Source organism: Homo sapiens, chromosome 4 (assembly GCF_000001405.40).
Source record: "Homo sapiens chromosome 4, GRCh38.p14 Primary Assembly".
In the NCBI taxonomy this organism is placed as follows: Eukaryota; Metazoa; Chordata; class Mammalia; order Primates; family Hominidae; genus Homo; species Homo sapiens.
Window position 1 is genome coordinate 44,965,173 of NC_000004.12, and position 20,567 is coordinate 44,985,739.

General features: G+C 35.9%; 1 long non-coding RNA gene across 1 annotated transcript; it reads left to right on the forward strand.

Annotated features, from left to right (window-relative positions):
• The first annotated feature begins 697 nt into the window (after nucleotides 1-697).
• LOC124900850 (uncharacterized) lies at nucleotides 698-20,428 on the forward strand. Its single transcript, XR_007058449.1, has 2 exons — nucleotides 698-781; nucleotides 20,078-20,428. It is a non-coding gene; the product is annotated as an uncharacterized LOC124900850 (long non-coding RNA).
• Nucleotides 20,429-20,567: the final 139 nt, after the last annotated feature.

The following is a 20,567-nucleotide window of genomic DNA, read 5'->3' on the forward strand; positions in this document are numbered from 1 at the left end:
TTTGGCAATGAATACTAAGAAAAAAACATCTTTAATCACATATTACCACAGTAATACATATGTTTCTATTGTTCAACTAGATATCAATTACTGATGATACTACTGGTTTAAAAAAGATTTTACATCTTGTGATAAATATGCTGAAATTTTTTCTTATGCCTTATTTTCAAATGGCTATTTTTTAAAATGTATGGTTATTAAAACATCTTAGCCTAATGATGGTCCACAGCTGTATCACTACTACCCAACAATATAACAATAATAGTTCCATCTCAGTGTGTCCAAAAATCACATTTCCTATGGCATAAAAGAGGTCAAAAACCAAAGAAAAGAGGCACCCTCCTATTAAAGAGAAAAAGAAAATTGGTGCCTTTCAAAATATGAGTCACTAAAGTGAATGGGCTACGATTGCCTTAGGAATAGACACATGCAGGCGTGAACCACACGCGCACGCACACACACACACACACACACAGCACTTAAGCTACCACTTTTCCAAGAAGGAATTGAAATGAGAAAACAGAGCCAGCCCAAATGCAAAGAAAATATAACAACTCATCTTTGTCACTTCCACCCCTTTTTAGAGCAGTTTTCACTTTTGACGCTAGGTTCTATTGTTACTTTGGTAGCTTGTTTTGTCTTGTGTAGAATAATGCAAATATGAGTGTTCCATCATGATCTTTCTAGCATTCTTCCTTAAGCAGAGCTCCCTTGAGAGTTCTTCAAAGAGAAGTTGAATGATTAATCTGATTTTGCTTCCCTGGGATTACTCATTAGTAAGGTAACAATGGGCACTCTTCTGTTTTAAAGTCCTAACATCATTGCAATTCATCCCAGAGGTGATATGAATTGTTCCATTCTATAAGAGTCTGAAGAGCAGCCAGTCCTTTCAGAAATGTACCTCTGTCAAAGAAACTGGAATCTGCACGTTCTCTTCTTGACTAGTGAAAAGTAATCTGTTTATTTCCTATGGGGCTATATAATTTTGTGGGTGACTAAAAACAGTGAAGATATTATCAGCTTAATCCTTGGAATAGTGTAATATGCTTTGCAATAAAATTTGTGACTCTCATAAAATATTGAGGTCTTTAATGACCTGAAAACTTCTTGCTAAAAAAACTGTAGATTGATCAACATATGTTTTGTGTTTGTGTTTAATGTTGATCATTAGACTGCTCTCTCTGTATTCTCCTTGCCACTTTCTTTCCCTCACTCACACTTAGCCCTAGCCTTCCACTGGTTATGTGCTCTGCCTCTCCCATATGCCCTCTTAAGAACATTAAATTTAGTGCCATATCACTGCAGGCATTTCTCCCTCAGAATTCCTAAGTTGGTCTTCCAATTTCTAATTTAATATTTTTGAGGCATCTCATGTCTTTGACAGCTTTGATTTATAGAGAAAGATTATTCCCCAGTCCCTCTTCACAACAACTCACCCCTTTGCTTGACTAGATTTTATTTTCTTTAAAGAAAGAGGACATGCCAATTTGGTTAGTTCAAGTTCATAACAATTGACTGAGCCACATTGGTGTGTATATTTTGTCTAAGTGGGAAGACTCCTCTTATGAATGGTTACTTCCTTTTTCTGTGACTGAATGGATCAAGGAATTTAAAATAGGCCTCTCTCTTTTTCTTCCTTTCTCTATACATGAAAATAAGTGATAAGGTTGGGAGGGCCTGATATGTCATGATGAAGATAGCATGATGATGATAATAATTATCATCATTGTGATAACTCATATTTATTGAAACTTTTGACCATGCTTTGTAGCATTTTACATAGATTAGCACAGTTATTATTCATAACTCAAGTATGGGGTAGATATGATGATTATTCCTACTTCACAGACAGGAACAATGAGACACAGATAAGTTAAGGACTTATCCAAGAAGTTGGCATTGTTGAAATTAAGCCCAACCATCTTGCATCTTCTTTATCCTTGATTTATTTCCCCTGTGCAACTGTTAAGAATGTGGCAAGATCTCAAGATTTGGATTTGGGAAAGGAGTAAATGTGAAAGTGATGCAGGGAGTAGAAGTCTCTGTTTGGCTTCCAAGACTAAAGCATGTGTTGAACTTAGCTATTAACAGAGTGCATAATAAGGGTATTGGGCAGTATTTGATTCTCATTTTGCTGCTGTTCCTTTAGGATAATGCTTTCAGAGAGTTTATGGGTGGAATTTGGGGATGCAATGGTTTAATTGGCAAGAGCAACAGTTTTCCATTCCTGTCTTTAATGTCAGCTAACTTCACCCCAAACCCACCATTATTACTAATGTTTATAACATTAATTACAACTTTTTTTTTTTTTTTGAGACAGGGTCTTGTTTTGTTACCCAGGCTAGGGAGCAGTGATGTGATCATAGCTCACTGTAACCTTGAATTCCTGGGCCAAAACCATCCTCCTGCCTCAGCCTCCGATTAGATAGGACTACAGGCATGCACCATCATGCCCAGCTAATTTTTAAAATTGTTTTTGTAGAGACAAGTCACTATGTTGCCCCAGGCTGGTCTTGAAACCTTGGCCTCAAGAAGTTCTCTCACCTCCGCCTCTCAAAGTGCTGGGATTACAGATTACCATTGTGCCCAGCCCTAATTACAACTTTATAGCATAAAACTAGTTTAAATTCGCTTTTCTATAGCTTCCATGTATTGAAAGCAATATAAAGCTTACTTTCTTTTCCACGACCTTTAAGTTTTTGAAAAATCAGCCTGGTTTAGTGACCAAAACAGAGTGACTTCTTGGTTTATACTTTCCCAGTCCATTGATCCTACAAAGAAGTAAAGGGGGGAAAAAGTCATTGTGTGAAAGCCTCTGTCTCATTTAGCCTAAACCAGAGATATGCCCACTTCAGGACAGATAATGAGGATGCTACAAGAAAACTCTTTGCATGAGGGAACTTTTGAGATGACAGTTACACCTTAAAAAAATTAGATAAGCTTGCCCTTGTAGAGGCCAGAATTGAGTCTGTTCACGTTATGGTGTTTATTGACTAGATTTATTCCTAGTTCAGCCACTAGGGTTTCATTCATTTATTCTGAAGAGCAGGGAGAGAAGTTAGGATGATAGAGAAAATGGAGAAATTGACCAAGGGACACAGAAACTGATGGAAATATTTCACTTCAAGAATCCTTAAAATTTTGGGATTCAAAAACAGTATTTTCTTAGTGTTCTTGGGACACTACTGAACCTACAACCTGGATTTGATTTTTTCCTTTTTTGTATTGAATCTACAACCTGGATTTGAACCCTAATGTTGGAAAAAATTGAAAATGGATTTGTTATCACCAGTGCTCCAGGGTATTTTGCTTAGCAGAAGTAGTGCCAATAGTACTTGGGAAAAAAAAAAATCTCAACCTAGTAAGAGATAAAGTGCCTTCCTGCAGTTTTGGAGACAGTTGGAAACTCAGCAGTTGACAGCACTGAAGAGAGTCAGAGTTGAAGAAATAATACTTGGATACTTGGATATCCTGTGGTTGCTAATTGACATGGTCATGAGTATCCAGAAAATACACTGTAGGATAGGATAACTGGGGTGATTTTGGCAGGCACTCTCTTTAAAAGAACTGGAGATGCTGCAGTGGCATTGGACAGTGTAGTAGCACAGACAGAAAATGAAGTATGTTTTTCTAAATCTGACCTTTTTGCAAACCCTAGTTTTGCCTGGCCGAATAACAAATAGGTTGCCTGTGTCTAGAAATCAGTTCTAAGTATACAGTTCCAAAAAATTAATAACAGATGTTACATGTTCAATTTAATTAAAGAATCACTTACGAGCACACTATGTGTATAGCACTGTGCTAAATGCCATGGACAATTTAAACTTCCAGTGGTCTTAGGGGAAAAAAAATAACATGCAAATATAGAGCAGTTTTACATAATGGGCAGCAATTCATTGTTTAGGAAAATAAATATTTAGAACTTACCTTCCAGAGAGGGAAAAAATGCAAGTGGCTTGCGATGTGTTGCAAAAGACAGCATCAGGAATGGAGTCTGTGATGAAGAACTTAAAAGATGATCTGGATCAGAAGAGAAAGACAATAGCCCGGGTGCATATTCTAAACCCTAGAATGTAAACTCCACAAAGGCAATTTTATGTTTCTTCACCAGTATATGCTCAGAATCCAGAACGGTGTCTGGCACACACTAGATATTCAATAAATCTTTGTTAAATGAATGAATTCTGAATTGTTTAAATGCTTTAAAACTACTGGATTCCATTCTGTGATGGAATTTGAGATGATCTATTTAGAGAAAAGTTTTTTCTCTCTGGACTTAATTTTGGCAATGAATATGAGTAAGGTTGACCAATTTCTGTCTCATATCAATTAAACCTTTCATGGGTTTTTAGTCAAATGCAGCCATTAATGAGCAGATGCCCAGGGCAATGATAATTATGATGATAATGCTTTGCCCGTACACCATCTCCCTTATCCATATAAACCTAAGTGCTTTACTAACAGTAATTATCACAGTGCTTATGGGAGATAAGGAAGTATAATTAACACCTTGTACAGATAAAAATGGGAATAGAGAGACATTAAACAGCCAGCTCAGAGAGATGTAGTAAAATCAATTATTTATTATTTTTAAAATGTTAACCCTCAATCTGATTATTAAGCCTTGAAAACAAAGAGGCACCAATATTTGATAACTGTTTGTATTAGTCAGGGTTCTCCAAAGAAATAGAACCAATAGGATAGATCTATATATCTTTATCTTTGTAGATATTTACACAGATATCTACACCTATAGATATATAGAAAGATATTATCATGAGGGATTCGCTTATTATGAGGGATTTATTTATTTATTATATTTATATATATTTATATATATAATATATTAATATATTTATTATTATTATTATTTATTTTTATATTTATATATTTATATTTATATTTATATTTATATTTATATATATTTATATATTATTAATATATTTATTATTATTATTATTATTATTTATTATTTATTATACAAGGGATTGGCTTATGCAATTACGGAAGCTGAGAAGTCCCATGATTTTCTATCTGTAAGATTGAAGTCTACAAATCCAGTGGTGTAGTTCCAGTCCAGACTCTAAGGCCTGAGAACCATGGGGCCAATGGGATAAGTCTCAGTCCAAGTCCCAAGGCCCAAGTACTGAGTGCCAATGTTCAAGAACAGAAGAAGATGGATGACCCAGTTCAAGCAGAAAGAACAAATTTGCCTTTCCTCTGCCATCCTGTTTTACTTGGGTCCTTTATGGATTGGTGATGCCCACCCACATTGTTGAGAGGGATCTTTACTCATTCCACTGATTCAGATGCTAAACTCTCTGGAGACACCCTCAGACACACCCTCAGAAATAATGTTTGACCAGCTATCTGGACATCCCTTAGCTCAGTTAAGTTGACATAAAATTAACCATCACACTGTTGAAATCATGAGTTCATTTGAATCTCTTTTTGGCATGGTAGTGAGATGAGGTAAATGAATATCTATTTTAAACTTTCTCAATGTATATACTCATTGAGACCTAATCTGAATTCTTGTACAAATTGTTGGGTGATAACAGGGTAAGGGAAGTGTGTACTTCTTAGCAGCCTTCTATGTAAGTTTCCTTGGCTCATATAAATCTAGGAATATAATAATTATTCAACTCTCAAATTGAAATGGTGTCACATGTTTGGTTTCTTGCTCTTAAAGTTCTACTTTTTTCCTCTCACTTGTAAAATGGCCTTACCTCATACACTAAGTCTCTGGTAAATGGGTCTTAAGAACAATTGAGTTACTTTGGTTAACTATCAAAATAAGTTTACTTTTTTATCTTGCTTTGATTTTATTTTCCATTCATAGTGATGAAAGTCTATTGAAGTGTGCACATAAAAGTGTGTGTGTGTGTGTTTGTGTGTGTGTGGTGGTGGTGTTAGGTGTCAAGCATTTGTTTCCCCTTTCTTTTGTTAATAGTATTGTATCAGGATATTTCTGACATAAGTGACAAGTAAACCAAACCCAAGTAGATATAAGCAAAAAGCAAAAAGAAATTAATGACTCTGATTAAAAACTTCAGGGGTATAATTGGCTTCAAGCATGGTTCCCTGCACTCAACCAGTGTCATCAAGATCAATTTTTCTCCCTCTCTTACTCAACTCTTATCAGTGCCTTTGCTTTTGGGATAGCAGCTTCTCAATTACAGACTTTCTGGGTCAACTTCAGTAGAAGACAGTACCTGCTAGTATCCTTGGAGTTTTAGCAGAATTTGCATTGTACTATAATGAATCTGACTGCATAATCTGCTGATGCTGAAAAATATCCTGTCCAGAGCATGCTATCCAATTCATAAGACTAGAAAAATTAGGACCCATCCTTAATGTAGGATTGGAGTGAATCCCCACTCAAACCAAAGCACTGATTGTAACACCTATAATGTTTATTTCACTTCTCACCTTTGGGGAATTGACCCTTAATGCAGTGACTGCTTGTGAAGCTGCCAATCATAGCACTACTACCTCCAATACTCCACCCAGCGCTAGATATAAGATGCAGAGGGTTGATCACAATGCTGTATCCTCCCATCTAAAGTGATTGGTGCAATGAGTGACCAATGTCAGTTAAATCATTGTCTATCCCTTAGATATATATAATACTTATAAGCAAAAGACAGTCATCTTATATAAAAGCTTGATACTGAGCGATAAGCTAAGGTGAGAGCTTGAGGAATGTATTTATAGAGAAGTCTGCAGGTTTCAGGCATCGAGAGTGCTGAATGTTTCCTTTTTTCTGCAGCCTTTTATTTGTTGATTCTGTGGCATATGCCAGTATCCTTCCAAAACGCTTGTTGTTGTTATTGTTTGTTAAATGAATTATAGTTACATTTCCATCACTAACAATACAAAGAGACATTGACAACATTCTTCGGTTCTTGAGACTTTTCTAGTAAGTGGGCTCTTGTCCTGTGTTCTATGCTTGAGTATCTATTTTGAAAAATTGCCTAGTAGACCTTTTAATTTTTATTGTGAAATATGAAAAGAGTTATAAAAATTGCTGTAATAGTACAAGGGTTTTCTTTACACTCAGATTACTCGTGTTAACATTTTACTATGTTTGCTGCATCCTTTTCTTTCCCTCTCTATACATTTATTTGTACATATGGAGACTATTTTGCATACATGATGCCCTTTGAGCCTTAATTCCTTAGTGTGTACTTCCTAAAATACAGCTACATCATCTTATATAATGAAGTAAATAAGAAATATCAAGAAATTACCATAGACAATATTATCTAATCTGCACCCCTTATTGAGATTTTAGCCAATTGTCTCAATTTTGATCTTTTTAGCAAAAGAAATTCCTGGATCATAAGTTGCATCCATCAGTCATATCTCCTTAGCTGTCTTCAATCTGGTGCCATTCTTTGTTTCTTCTTTTATTTCCTAACATTGGCATTTTTAAATATACAGTTCAGTTGTTGTGTATCATATGATGCTCATGTAAACAATTAAATTTGCCAATATTTTCTTTGTAATTCACATGTATGTTGTGGGGGGGCACTTTGGCTAAAATCGTTTGACTCTTCATAATTTCACCACTGATTTTTCCATCTTTATGTCTCTTCTTTGCTCTCACTAATTTCCTCTGTGAATAATTATCTATTTTCTCTGACTTTTCTGCCCCCACCTCTACCCCTGTATACACACAACAAACACCCTGTTTCTAATGCCAAGTCTTTAACTAGAGTCTTGCAAGGCACTATTAGAATCCACTAATGGTTCTTTGCCTGGTATAATCTTAGGTTCCTTGTCACTATATTATACTGATCTGCAGAATCCGTCACTTAACATTTTATTGAAACTAGCCTATAATACTGCCTGCTTGTTATCTGTGGCTTAAATCTCTAAATAATTGACTCTGCCTAAGTGGATGCCCTTCTGTCTGTAGCTGGATGCACCCCTACATTGTTGTTGTGTGTTTGTTTTCCTTTTACTTTTAAACTTTGCAGGTCTCTTAGCTGTCCTAGTCCCATTAACCCTCAACATCTTTTTCTAATAACAGAGAAATAAATGTTGGTTCCTGGCTGCTTGCTAACTGGTAATTCAAGAGACATGTGAAATATTATGGAGCAATGATATTGTCTGGCAGTAATGATAATTTTTCCAGTAGCAACTTTTCTATTGCTCCAGTTTGAAATGGTTCAAATATTATCATAAAGTTGTGAAAATTAATTTATGGTGTTATTTAAGTTACATGCACAGAAAGATGAGTGACTTTCAGTCTTGAAATCCTCATCAAGAAAATTGACCAACTGAGGGAGTTGGAGGAAATTAGAGTTTATTTTGTTTACATTTTCAGTTTTTGTGTTAAATTCAGGACGAGGTCAGAAACACTGGGATGTTGTGATTGTTAATACTGACTGTCAACTTGATTGGATTGAAGGATACAAAGTATTGATCCTGGGTGTGTCTGTGAGGGTGTTGCCAAAGGAGATTAATGTTGAGTCAGTGGGCTGGGAGAGGCAGACCCACCCTTAATCTGAGTGGGCACAATCTAACCAGCTGCCAGCATGGCTAGACAGGCAGAAAAATGTGAAAAGAGCAACTGGCCTAGCCTCCCAGCCTACATCTTTCTCCCATGCTGGATGCTTCCTGCCCTCAAACATCAGACTCCAAGTTCTTCAGTTTTCAAACTTGGACTGGCTCTCCTTGCTCCTTAGCTTGCACGGACTGGCTCTCATTGCTCCTTAGCTTGCAGATGACCTATTGTGGGACCTTATGATCATGTGAGTTAATACTTAAACACACACACACACACACACACACACACACACACACACACACATATTCTATTAGTTCTGTCCCTCCAGAGAACCCTGACTAATGCAGATGCTGAAGAGGAAATTGGAAACACCTCATCCTACTAAACAAAGAAGAAAAGTAGAGCACAGAAATCAGAGGAAGTTTCCTGTCACTATCACAGCAAGGGAACCACAGACAATTCATGTGGAATCATTTCTACAGGAAGTTATAACATTTCTTAAGCCTCATGATTTCCTTGATGTTTATGATTTTTATTATTTTCTTTTATTTCCTTGTAACTAATAGCAATAAAACTCAGGAACAAGCATAGCCCTCTGTAGAGAAATAGAAAAGGGAAAGTGAAAGAAAAGTGCTCCTATTTTAAAAAGTGACACTGATGTCATGAGGAAGGAACATGTTATATTCCTAGTGCAAGGACAAGACAGAAAAAGACATTAGAAAGATGTTTTGGTCTGAGTAGCAGTTGGGGTTTATCCACTAAGGACACACAAGAGCATTCTTACATTGACCACTAAAATTATTTCAAATTCAAAAGATTCTGGCTTCTTTATTCATGTTTGTGCTTTAGATACAACAATGTCACAGACTCTAAATCCTGTGTACTTATTTTTTGGAGAGTGTTGTAGGTATATTTCATATTAATTCTCATAACACCAGTGAGAAAGATAAAAGATATGTTTTATTTATATATAGGGTTGTTATTCTTTCAAAAGTAAAGAGTTCTGAATATTTTCTTTTCAGTCTGTAAGCTCCATGAGGACAAGTACCTGTATTGCTTACTACAATATTCTAGGTAGAATGCTATGTACATAGCATGTAACCAAAGTATATTGTCACTCACTAAGTGGCATGCTTAATACACAGAGCTTATTGGCTGCAGATAGCACTTTACTTTGTACTCCTGCCTCCTTCCAGTAAGGAACTCAAAAAAATCTTATGTTTAACTTTATGAAAAAACACACAAAGGCTTAGAAAGTCTTGACATCACTTGTTTTTCTCAGGTTTGTCAAAGATCAGATAGTTGTAGGTATGCGGCGTTATTTCTGAGGGCTCTGTTCTGTTCCATTGATCTATATCTCTGTTTTGGTACCAGTACCATGCTGTTTTGGTTACTGTAGCCTTGTAGTATAGTTTGAAGTCAGGTCGTGTGATGCCTCCAGCTTTGTTCTTTTGGCTTAGGATTGACTTGGCGATGCGGGCTCTTTTTTGGTTCCATATGAACTTTAAAGTAGTTTTTTCCAATTCTGTGAAGAAAGGCATTGGTAGCTTGATGGGGATGGCATTGAATCTGTAAATTACCTTGGGCAGTATGGCCATTTTCACGATATTGATTCTTCCTACCCATGAGCATGGAATGTTCTTCCATTTGTTTGTATCCTCTTTTATTTCCTTGAGCAGTGGTTTGTAGTTCTCCTTGAAGAGGTCCTTCACATCCCTTGTAAGTTGGATTCCTAGGTATTTTATTCTCTTTGAAGCAATTGTGAATGGGAGTTCACTCATGATTTGGCTCTCTGTTTGTCTGTTGTTGGTGTATAAGAATGCTTGTGATTTTTGTACATTGATTTTGTATCCTGAGACTTTGCTGAAGTTGCTTATCAGCTTAAGGAGATTTTGGGCTGAGACAATGGGGTTTTCTAGATATACAATCATGTCGTCTGCAAACAGGGACAATTTGACTTCCTCTTTTCCTAATTGAATACCCTTTATTTCCTTCTCCTGCCTAATTGCCCTGGCCAGAACTTCCAACACTATGTTGAATAGGAGTGGTGAGAGAGGGCATCCCTGTCTTGTGCCAGTTTTCAAAGGGAATGCTTCCAGTTTTTACCCATTCAGTATGATATTGGCTGTGGGTTTGTCATAGATAGCTCTTATTATTTTGAAATACATCCCATCAATACCTAATTTATTGAGAGTTTTTAGCATGAAGGGTTGTTGAATTTTGTCCAAGGCTTTTTCTGCATCTATTGAGATAATCATGTGGTTTTTGTCTTTGGTTCTGTTTATATGCTGGATTACATTTATTGATTTGCGTATATTGAACCAGCCTTGCATCCCAGGGATGAAGCCCACTTGATCATGGTGGATAAGCTTTTTGATGTGCTGCTGGATTCGGTTTGCCAGTATTTTATTGAGGATTTTTGCATCAATGTTCATCAAGGATAACAAGCAATGGGGAAAGGATTCCCTATTTAATAAATGGTGCTGGGAAAACTGGCTAGCCGTATGTAGAAAGCTGAAACTGGATCTCTTCCTTACACCTTATACAAAAATCAATTCAAGATGGATTAAAGATTTAAATGTTAGGCCTAAAACCATAAAAACCCTAGAAGAAAACCTAGCCATTACCATTCAGGACATAGGCATGGGCAAGGACTTCATGTCCAAAACACCAAAAGCAATGGCAACAAAAGACAAAATTGACAAATGGGATCTAATTAAACTAAAGAGCTTCTGCACAACAAAAGAAACTACCATCAGAGTGAACAGGCAACATACAAAATGGGAGAAAATTTTCGCAACCTACTCATCTGACAAAGGGCTAATATCCAGAATCTACAATGAACTCAAACAAATTTACAAGAAAAAAACAAACAACCCCATCAAAAAGTGGGCGAAGGACATGAACAGACACTTCTCAAAAGAAGACATTTATGCAGCCAAAAAACACATGAAAAAATGCTCATCATCACTAGCCATCAGAGAAATGCAAATCAAAACCACTATGAGATACCATCTCACACCAGTTAGAATGGCAATCATTAAAAAGTCAGGAAACAACAGGTGCTGGAGAGGATGTGGAGAAATAGGAACACTTTTACACTGTTGGTGGGACTGTAAACTAGTTCAACCATTGTAGAAGTCAGTGTGGCGATTCCTCAGGGATCTAGAACTAGAAATACCATTTGACCCAGCCATCCCATTACTGGGTATATACCCAAATGACTATAAATCATGCTGCTATAAAGACACATGCACACGTATGTGTATTGCCGCATTATTCACAATAGCAAAGACTTGGAACCAATCCAAATGTCCAACAATGATAGACTGGATTAAGAAAATGTGGCACATATACACCATGGAATACTATGAAGCCATAAAAAATGATGAGTTCATGTTCTTTGTAGGGACATGGATGAAATTGGAAATCATCATTCTCAGTAAACTATCGCAAGAACAAAAAACCAAACACCGCATATTCTCACTCATAGGTGGGAATTGAACAACGAGATCACATGGACACAGGAAGGGGAATATCACACTCTGGGGACTGTTGTGGGGTGGAGGGAGGGGGGAGGGATAGCATTGGGAGATATACCTAATGCTAGATGACGAGTTAGTGGGTGCAGCACACCAGCATGGCACATGTATACATATATAACTAACCTGCACAATGTGCACATGTACCCTAAAACTTAAAGTATAATAAAAAAAAAAAAAAGAAAGTCTTGACATCTTTATTTTTACAAATATCCCAAAGAACTAATTTATGCAGGTTATAAACTAAATCAAACCACATCCCTTTATTCTAAACTTTGGAATCCAGCTACACGTTGCAGAAATAACTGGGTAACTGGAGTGTATTAGGGTGGGCTATAAATGGTTAGAGCTTGGAGCCTGACTTGTCCTATTCCAATGCCCTCTTTCTACAAGGGTATAAAGGAAAAACATGCCAAATACCAGACTGAATGAGTGATGCTCTAGTTTATTCCCTTTTCTACTTGTAACAGAATTTGCCCCCAAACTGAATAGAGAGCAACCTCATATAGATTTATACTTTTAGTTAAATTCAAATTCCAGCCCTAACTCTTAAGAAAGCTACCATGTTATCAATATTAATAACATACAGCCTGGAGAAAAATATGAAGTTTTCATGATTGACTCCCCCTTGGCTAGTCACGGTTCACAGATAAGACCTTGAGGGTTATATTAGCTCTTTCTATACTCACCTCCGGGGTTTGATCCAATGCCAACATTTGGGAGTCCTCAATCACTGGTTTGTGAACCTATTGTTGCATTTTAATCCTTCTTAAATTCTAATTAAGTTATAGTCGTAATGAAAAGTAATTATGTTTACTGAAAGACCTATGATTAATGTAAACCACAAAGCAATTAGATGAAGAGAGAACAAAATGTGCTTAATATCATGATGTACTGGCCCTGAGCAGAATTAACAATATATTTGAAATGTGGACCCTTCTGCACAGATCATTGACATGGTTGTCATGGAAACTGCCTGTTTTGACATTACTGAAGTCTCTAGGCATCTCTTCTAGGTTCAAACAGTAATTGACATGTACATCCATTTGGTCAGATAAGATGTCTTATTTCTGGCACCTTTATTATCCACAAATATCATGGTTCTCTTTAAATAATGAAACATTGCATTAAAAATAGTAACCACACATCTTTCAGCTTTTAGAGTTTTGGTTGACAACTGTTGATAGCATCACTGAGACATTATTGTGGCTAGATAGTATATAGATTTTGTAGTCAACTAAAAAGTATTATTTGCAATAATGGTGTAAAACCCTGAGATTCAAAAAATAGAAATGCTTTGTTTTTCCTAAGTGAAAAAATTGCTAGAATTCTTTCTAAGATCGTTTTTGTTTTTCCTGGATGTTTCAATATAGATCAAGAAATTTGATGTTAAAAAATTTACTACATTTTACATAAATATTGTACTAGGAAGATGTAGTCACAGAAAATCTGTAAATAAATTCAATTTCTCCATTATTTATCGATTTAAATTTCTCACCTGCTTCAGACACTGCTAGGAATAGATGGCATCGTCTCTCACATTGAAAGTTTGAGCAGAATAGTTCTTAATTTTGAAGGACTAATTTTACAATTTTAGGAAGCTTAGCATTCCTGTCCTTTATTAAATGCCAGTAGTAACTACCTGCCCCAGTCATGGTGACAACTAAATATGAATTCACCACACCTTTTCAAATGCCCCCTATGTAGAGTATGGGATGGAGTGGGAGAAGTAATACTATTCTTGGTTAGAAATAACCATAAATATCTTAACAAAGATGTCATTTTCTAGTTCTGTCATTTTCTCAGCAGATGGCTCTTAACTTGTTAAACTTATCAGGTATGAGTCTCACATTAATTGAAGATTGTAAGGTAGCAATTGCTTTAAGCTGGCATGAATAATACAAGAATGTTATGAAAAGAAGAAAAGCAGAGTTAAAAATATTTGATAGCCTAAAAAAGCTGATAAAGGAAAAATAATCACTAGAATACAAAATAGAATCATATAGAATGGAATAGTTAAGGATTTTCATTTCTCTCTACTTAAAGTTGCAAAAGAATATAGAATTAGATAATTTTTTAGGAAAAGGTATAAAATAAATGGATAGAAGGAATGAGGGTTTGTATTATAGTCACATCAATATAGAAAAGATAAATTCATAGGCCAAGAGGAAATACCTTGTGATTTTATACTGATTGAACTTGAACAATTGGTAGGTCTTTTGGAGAAGACATCCGATAGAGGGATTATTTATATTTTTCCTGTAACTTTAAAATTTGTTAAATAAAATAAACTATACTCTTTGAATCTAGTGAATATCAGAATAAGTATTTTTCTTTTGTGTAAAAACAACTGCCATATTTCATCGATTCACATTTTTCTGCTATTGAATGCACAATAAAGCATTGCCATTAATTTAGTATAATTACTTAAAAATATTTCCTGTCACAGTCATAGGATTGGTATGCTGTAAACAGTAATTGATTAAAATAAACCATGGGAGACTAGAAATATAAAGAACCTTAGAGAGAGTCTAACATCTCTCTCACTTTATAGAAGAGGAAATTGATATTGAAAGATATATTTTTAAACAGCATATCATCTTCTTATCTATAGAAACTGGCTGAAAAATTCAGAAGATATATTTGGAATTCAAATGTAGGCTTTGGAGTTATTATATTTATATGTAATTAAAATGCAACAATATCTTAGAATGTGCCTGAATGTGATGCTGAATCAAAGAACTATGGAATTCAAAGTCCAGGGCTTAGTAGATGTCAGTTTGGGAGAATATAACAAGAAATTTTCATTAGCCACTGAATATCAACCAATAATAACAGGAGAGAGGGAGAGATAGAACAAAGCTGATTATGATGGGATAAAAAGGACTGTCCTCTATTAACATTGAAGACTATAATATTTTAGTAGCATCAGTCTGGGTAACTATTATTTTTCTCATTGCCGTGCTCATCACTTGGAGAAAGTCATAGAAATGATGAAATCTTAGATTGATTTAGAGCCAAATTTTGATGAAAATAAACTAGTGCCAGAAGAATAGGATGTTTTAATCAGAGTGATGTCTTTTAATCTAACATTTCAGGAGCAGAGGAATTCTTTGGTAATAACAAAGTCCAGGGTGTAGACATCAGAGTGGGCAGGAGGAATAGAACAGCATGAACTAATTAGAATTCTCTAAAACCAGAAAGTGAAAAAGCTTGAAAGTTAGAGAACTTTGTCACCTGGCTCTTAGGTTTACTGAGGATAGTGTTAGAGGTTGGCGTAGAAAAGAAGACAGAAAACAAGGAGCCAAGGTCTTTGATACATCAATTGGAGTGATAGGGAGCTATACAGATACAGGAAGAGTGGTGGAAGTTAAAGCAGTGATGGTCCAAAATTAGCACCATGAAGTGAAATATTGTTTTGAACTTCCCTTGCTCTGTCTCTGAGGAAAGCAGAATATGGATGGATAAGACACCACTTAATAGGGTTTTATATAAAAAGTAGTGCTTGATCTGTCAGGAATCTGTTGGGATAGTGGAAGGCTCTCTAGAAATTTCAAAGAAGGGATTTAATGGAGAGAATTAGCAACTTACAAAAACAGAGCAACCACTTTGTTCACTCAGGAAATTACTCCTGAAAAGTGGAGGAAAGCACTGTTAATACTCTTAGCTGTTTGCAGACCTGAAGTAGGCATTAACAGAGGGAAGCACTAATTCCACTGGATGTGTTTCACTAGACTCAGAAAGGACTGTGCTGGTAAAGAAGTTTGGAAAATAATTTTCCCAATCTTCATATCTTATGATATATGGTGGTGAGATGCTTAGTGGGCAGGAATAATGCTGAGTGTGAATGAACATTATCAGGGAGAAGTAACTTCAAGTAAGATGAGTTAAGACAAGGAGGTAGAGAGGAAATCAACCAATGAGTTTAAGACACAGATTTATTTGTTATTGTGGGACACGGACTAAAGAGGTCACAGGAAAAAGTTTTGAAGGAAAGAACAGTGGGAGATTGCATTAAAGCCAAGTAAGCACAGAGCAGCATGACTCTGAAACTTCTATAGGACCAGAAAAAGGCTAGGGGAAATCATATTTTGGGTGTTGTGTAAATATCATAGGGAAGCAAAGCATGGTATGAATTAGCTGACTTCCAAGTTTCCTTAAAAAAGAAAAGGTTCAACTTTTTTTGATAAAAAGAAAAACTCAGTTCTGCATGAAATGGGCAACATGAATTTTTTATGTGACTATGGGAATTCTAACGTGGCATATATGCAAGGAAATCTTGACTTTCTATGATCCTAACTATGTATTAGAAATTGTAGAAACCTCTGATAAATGGCAACACACTTCCAGTGGAAATGGAAATAGCTTTTTAATCACAATTCTTCAAAACACTTAACAAAACACAAGTATCAATGAGGAGGATATAGTATGGTGAATAAATTAGGATATATTATTGTTCTAATTATTTGTGAGTCCTTTAAGAGATTATGATTGATTCCTACTCTGCTAACTTGGAGTTGGGATCAATTTTTTTGGCCAAAATTTTTTTTGAGTGGACATATGGAACTTTTGAACAAAAGTTTAAGATGCATCATGTATTTCCACTGTTCCTCTTTTTCCTCCGTCACCAGCCCAGCATGTGTCATATAGAGGCTGCTCCCTAATTCTGAGTCTGTGAATGAAGACCTGGAGGGGAGCTGTAGCTGCCCAGGAAAAAAAATGACACGAGAAGAAAATCCACCTTTGTTTTTTGTAACTACTGAGATTTTGGTGTTGTCTGTAATTGCACCAATACCCAGTGAACCATATACATTCTATTTTCCAAATATATTTGACTATACAGATTTTTTTTTAATCTTAGAGAATCTAGTAGGACAAGTTTAATTGAAAACGTGAAAATAGGCTGGGTGCAGTGGATCATGCCTGTAATCCCAGCACTTTGAGAGGTGGAGGCTGGCAGATCACTTGAGGTCAGGAGTTTGGTATCAGCCTGGCAACACGGTGAAACCCTGTCTCCACTAAAAATACAAAAATTAGCTGGGCATGTTGGCACATGCCTCTAATCCCAGCTGCTCGGTAGGCTGAGGTACGAGAATCACTTCAATCCTGAAGCAGAGGTTGCAGTGAGCTGAGATGGCGCCACTGCACTCCAGCCTGAGCTATTAACTCTGTGTCTTCTTAAAGTAAATATTTCTAAGAAAAAAGAATTTGGTCACTGATAATTGATCTTTAAAATACTCTAAATGTAATTATCTTGATCATCTGTCCAAACAAACTTCCTCGTATCTTAATAAGATACACGCTATTGTTACTACCCAATAATGTTAATGGGATTTAAAATGTTTTTCTGATTGTTTTGTAACTCTGCTTTTTGTTTTTGTTTCACATGAGACACTCACATGGTTATTTTATAGACTTCCTTGTTGATTTGGCTTGACAAAACAGTAGTTAGGGAAAAGAGAAAATCATGTCTCATTCTAGCCAATCTAACTTGAATCATGAATGAAGAGTTTCATTGGTAGGTTTAGGTCTTGAATTAACCCTTACTGGGGGAGGTAAACAAATACAGTTGACTCCTCAACAACACAAGTTTGAACTGAGTGGGTCCATTTGTATACAAATTTTTTTCAATAAACATATTGGTACATTTTTCTGTAGATTTGCACAATTTGAAAACACCTTGTAAGGTGAATATTATCTGCAGATAATATTCCTTAGCTTAGGAGTATCCTTTAAAAATTAAGAAAATGTTAGGTATGTCATGAATGCATAAACTATGTGTAGATACTAGTTTATTTTATTATTTACCACCATAAAATATGCACAAATCTATAATAAAAGGTTAAAATTTATCAAAACATATACACACAGACACAGACCTTACATGACACCATTCATAGTTGAGGGAAAAGTAAACATATGTAAAGATGCAGATTAAATCATAACTGCATAAAATTCACTGTAGTATACATTGTATTACTGTAATAATTTCGTAACCACCTCCTTTTGCTATTGGCATAAGCTCATACTGTGAGTGTCCACTTGAAATGCTACGTGTCACTAATCATCTCCATGTGAGCAGTTTATTGCCAGTAAATTGCATATTAGAGTAAAAAGTGATCTCTCCTAGCTGTTGCAAATTTTTCACATTTAGTGTAACACTGTAAACATTAAATAATGCCATGGGATTTATACAAAGGACCACTAATGCTGACAATGCTCACAAGAAGCAGAGAAAAGTAATGACATTACACATACACAAAAAAGCTTGAATTGCTTGATATGTGCCTTAGATTGAGGCCTGAAGCTAAGATTGTTCACCATGTCAGATAGATGACTCATGTTGTAAACAGAGAACATAATTTATGATATCAATAAATACATTACCATACTGTAAACATATTTTCTCTTCTTTACGATTTTTAAAATAACATTTTCCACCTGCATTGTAAGAATACAGTATATAATACATATGACATAAAACATATGTGTTAACTGTTTATGTTATCAGTAAGACTTCCAGTCAACAGTAGGCTATTAGTAGTTAAGATTTTGGGGAGTCAAAAATTATAAGCAGATTTTCGTCTGAGTGGAGATTTGGTGCCCCTAACCTCCACCTTGTTAAAGGGTCAGCTATATGAATAATAGGAATGTGGTAGTAAGTGTTTGACTACAGGCTCTTAGCGGGGAAAAAGAGCCCTGATTTTCAGCATTTGCCTATTTTCCTGATATAAATACTCCCACCATGGTCGATATCAAGCTACTGTCCTAAAGTCACTGTGTACAATTATTGGCTCTCCTGACTGTTCAGGAACTTCTGTACACCCCGATCAGTAACCCGAGCCTTTTAACTGAGGTCTGCATTTCATTGTGCTGTTATTGGGCTGCTGTTAGTAAGCCCTGGTCATGCTTGGATATTAAATGTTATAACATCTCATGATTTCTTAAATGCCATTTTTGCCAAATCAGAATAAGAAAGCTTCTATCTGACTTCTCCTTTCCAGTTCAGGTTGACTTTGGCATCCAGAATCCTGTGATGACTTATATCCCAGTTATCTAGAAACCTGACACTGCTTGCTTTTGATAGTCCTTTCTCCATTGGAGCTGAATTCTGTACATTTTACCTTCAACTGTGTATATGTCTTTCTATAAACAGAGCAGCTATCCAGAACATTCATTCTTCTCACCCTGTCTCCAAGAATTGGTTCTCACCAATCTTTATTTTACCATACCTCTCTGTCTCTTTCCTGAATTTTACTTTTTCAGTTACTGACACCTGTCCAAATCACCTTACATTTGCCCACTTGGACATTTCATCAACTTGCCCAATTATCCTATTGTAGTGACACTATGACTTTTTATTATATTCAGTGACTGAGATCAGAGTTGCCTAATTCCAAGACCCTGAGTTATAACAACTGTTGTGAGTAAATGTAACACGAATGTGCTAGACAGTTTGATTAATGTTTGTGATTAATGTATTCAAAAGACCCAAGGTAACTAAAATTATATTTGTCAAGTTTTAAAGTGCTGAATTTCTGAGATATACTATTATCATAATGTAAAAATTATTTAGGTTGAAAGGTATTCTTGGTTTGATAAATAATGGAAGAAAGAACAATGATCTAATAACATAAATATATATAACAGGTATATTTAAACTTGATAAAATTACTTCACTCAGGTAAAATAATATGAGCATTTTTTTTCAAGATTATGTAATATATATGAGTCTCGCCCAGTTGATACTAAAACTTTTCTTCATCAAAATGAAACCACCCACACAAACTTTATAAAATTATTTAGGGAAAAAAGGAGGGGGAGAAATGAAAATAAACCGAGTTTGCAGCACGTTCAGCATCAATCATGAGGTCAGCTTGCTCTTGGCCCTGCTTCATCATAGCTGTTTCGTGCCCATTGTCCTAGAATCACAATACTCTGTTACAAGACTCTAGTTTCCCTTAATTGTTGTGTAGATAACAATGTGAACATTATAAAATATTGTTTTCCCTTTCAGATATTCTTTCAGATACTGTGTACTGATGAAACTGCTGACTCAGCTGGTCTGAAGGACCCCACTGGCACTGGCTGGTCTGAAGGACCCTGCTGATCACAACTTGCCTGAAGGACCCTACTGACATCAGCTGTTGTCCAAAGGACGCCACAAGAAACTGACTCACCAAAAAATGCATCCTGATGATTTCATCCCCCTTAACCCGACCAATCAACAACCCCAAATCTACACAGCCCCTTTCCCTCCATGATTCCTACAAAACTCCAGCCCAGAACTCCTCAGGGAGATGGATTTGAAGGTCTCCTCCCTTCTACTTGCTTGATGCCCTATTATTATTAAACTCTTTGCTACAAACCCTGCTGTCTCTGTGTAATGAGTCTGTTACTTCATAGGGGCATATGAAGTTGTTAGTCCTATATTAAAAATAAGATGGTAAGCAGGAGATACACCTGCAAGTATGCCTTTTATATCAAAGTGACACTAAGAATTCAGA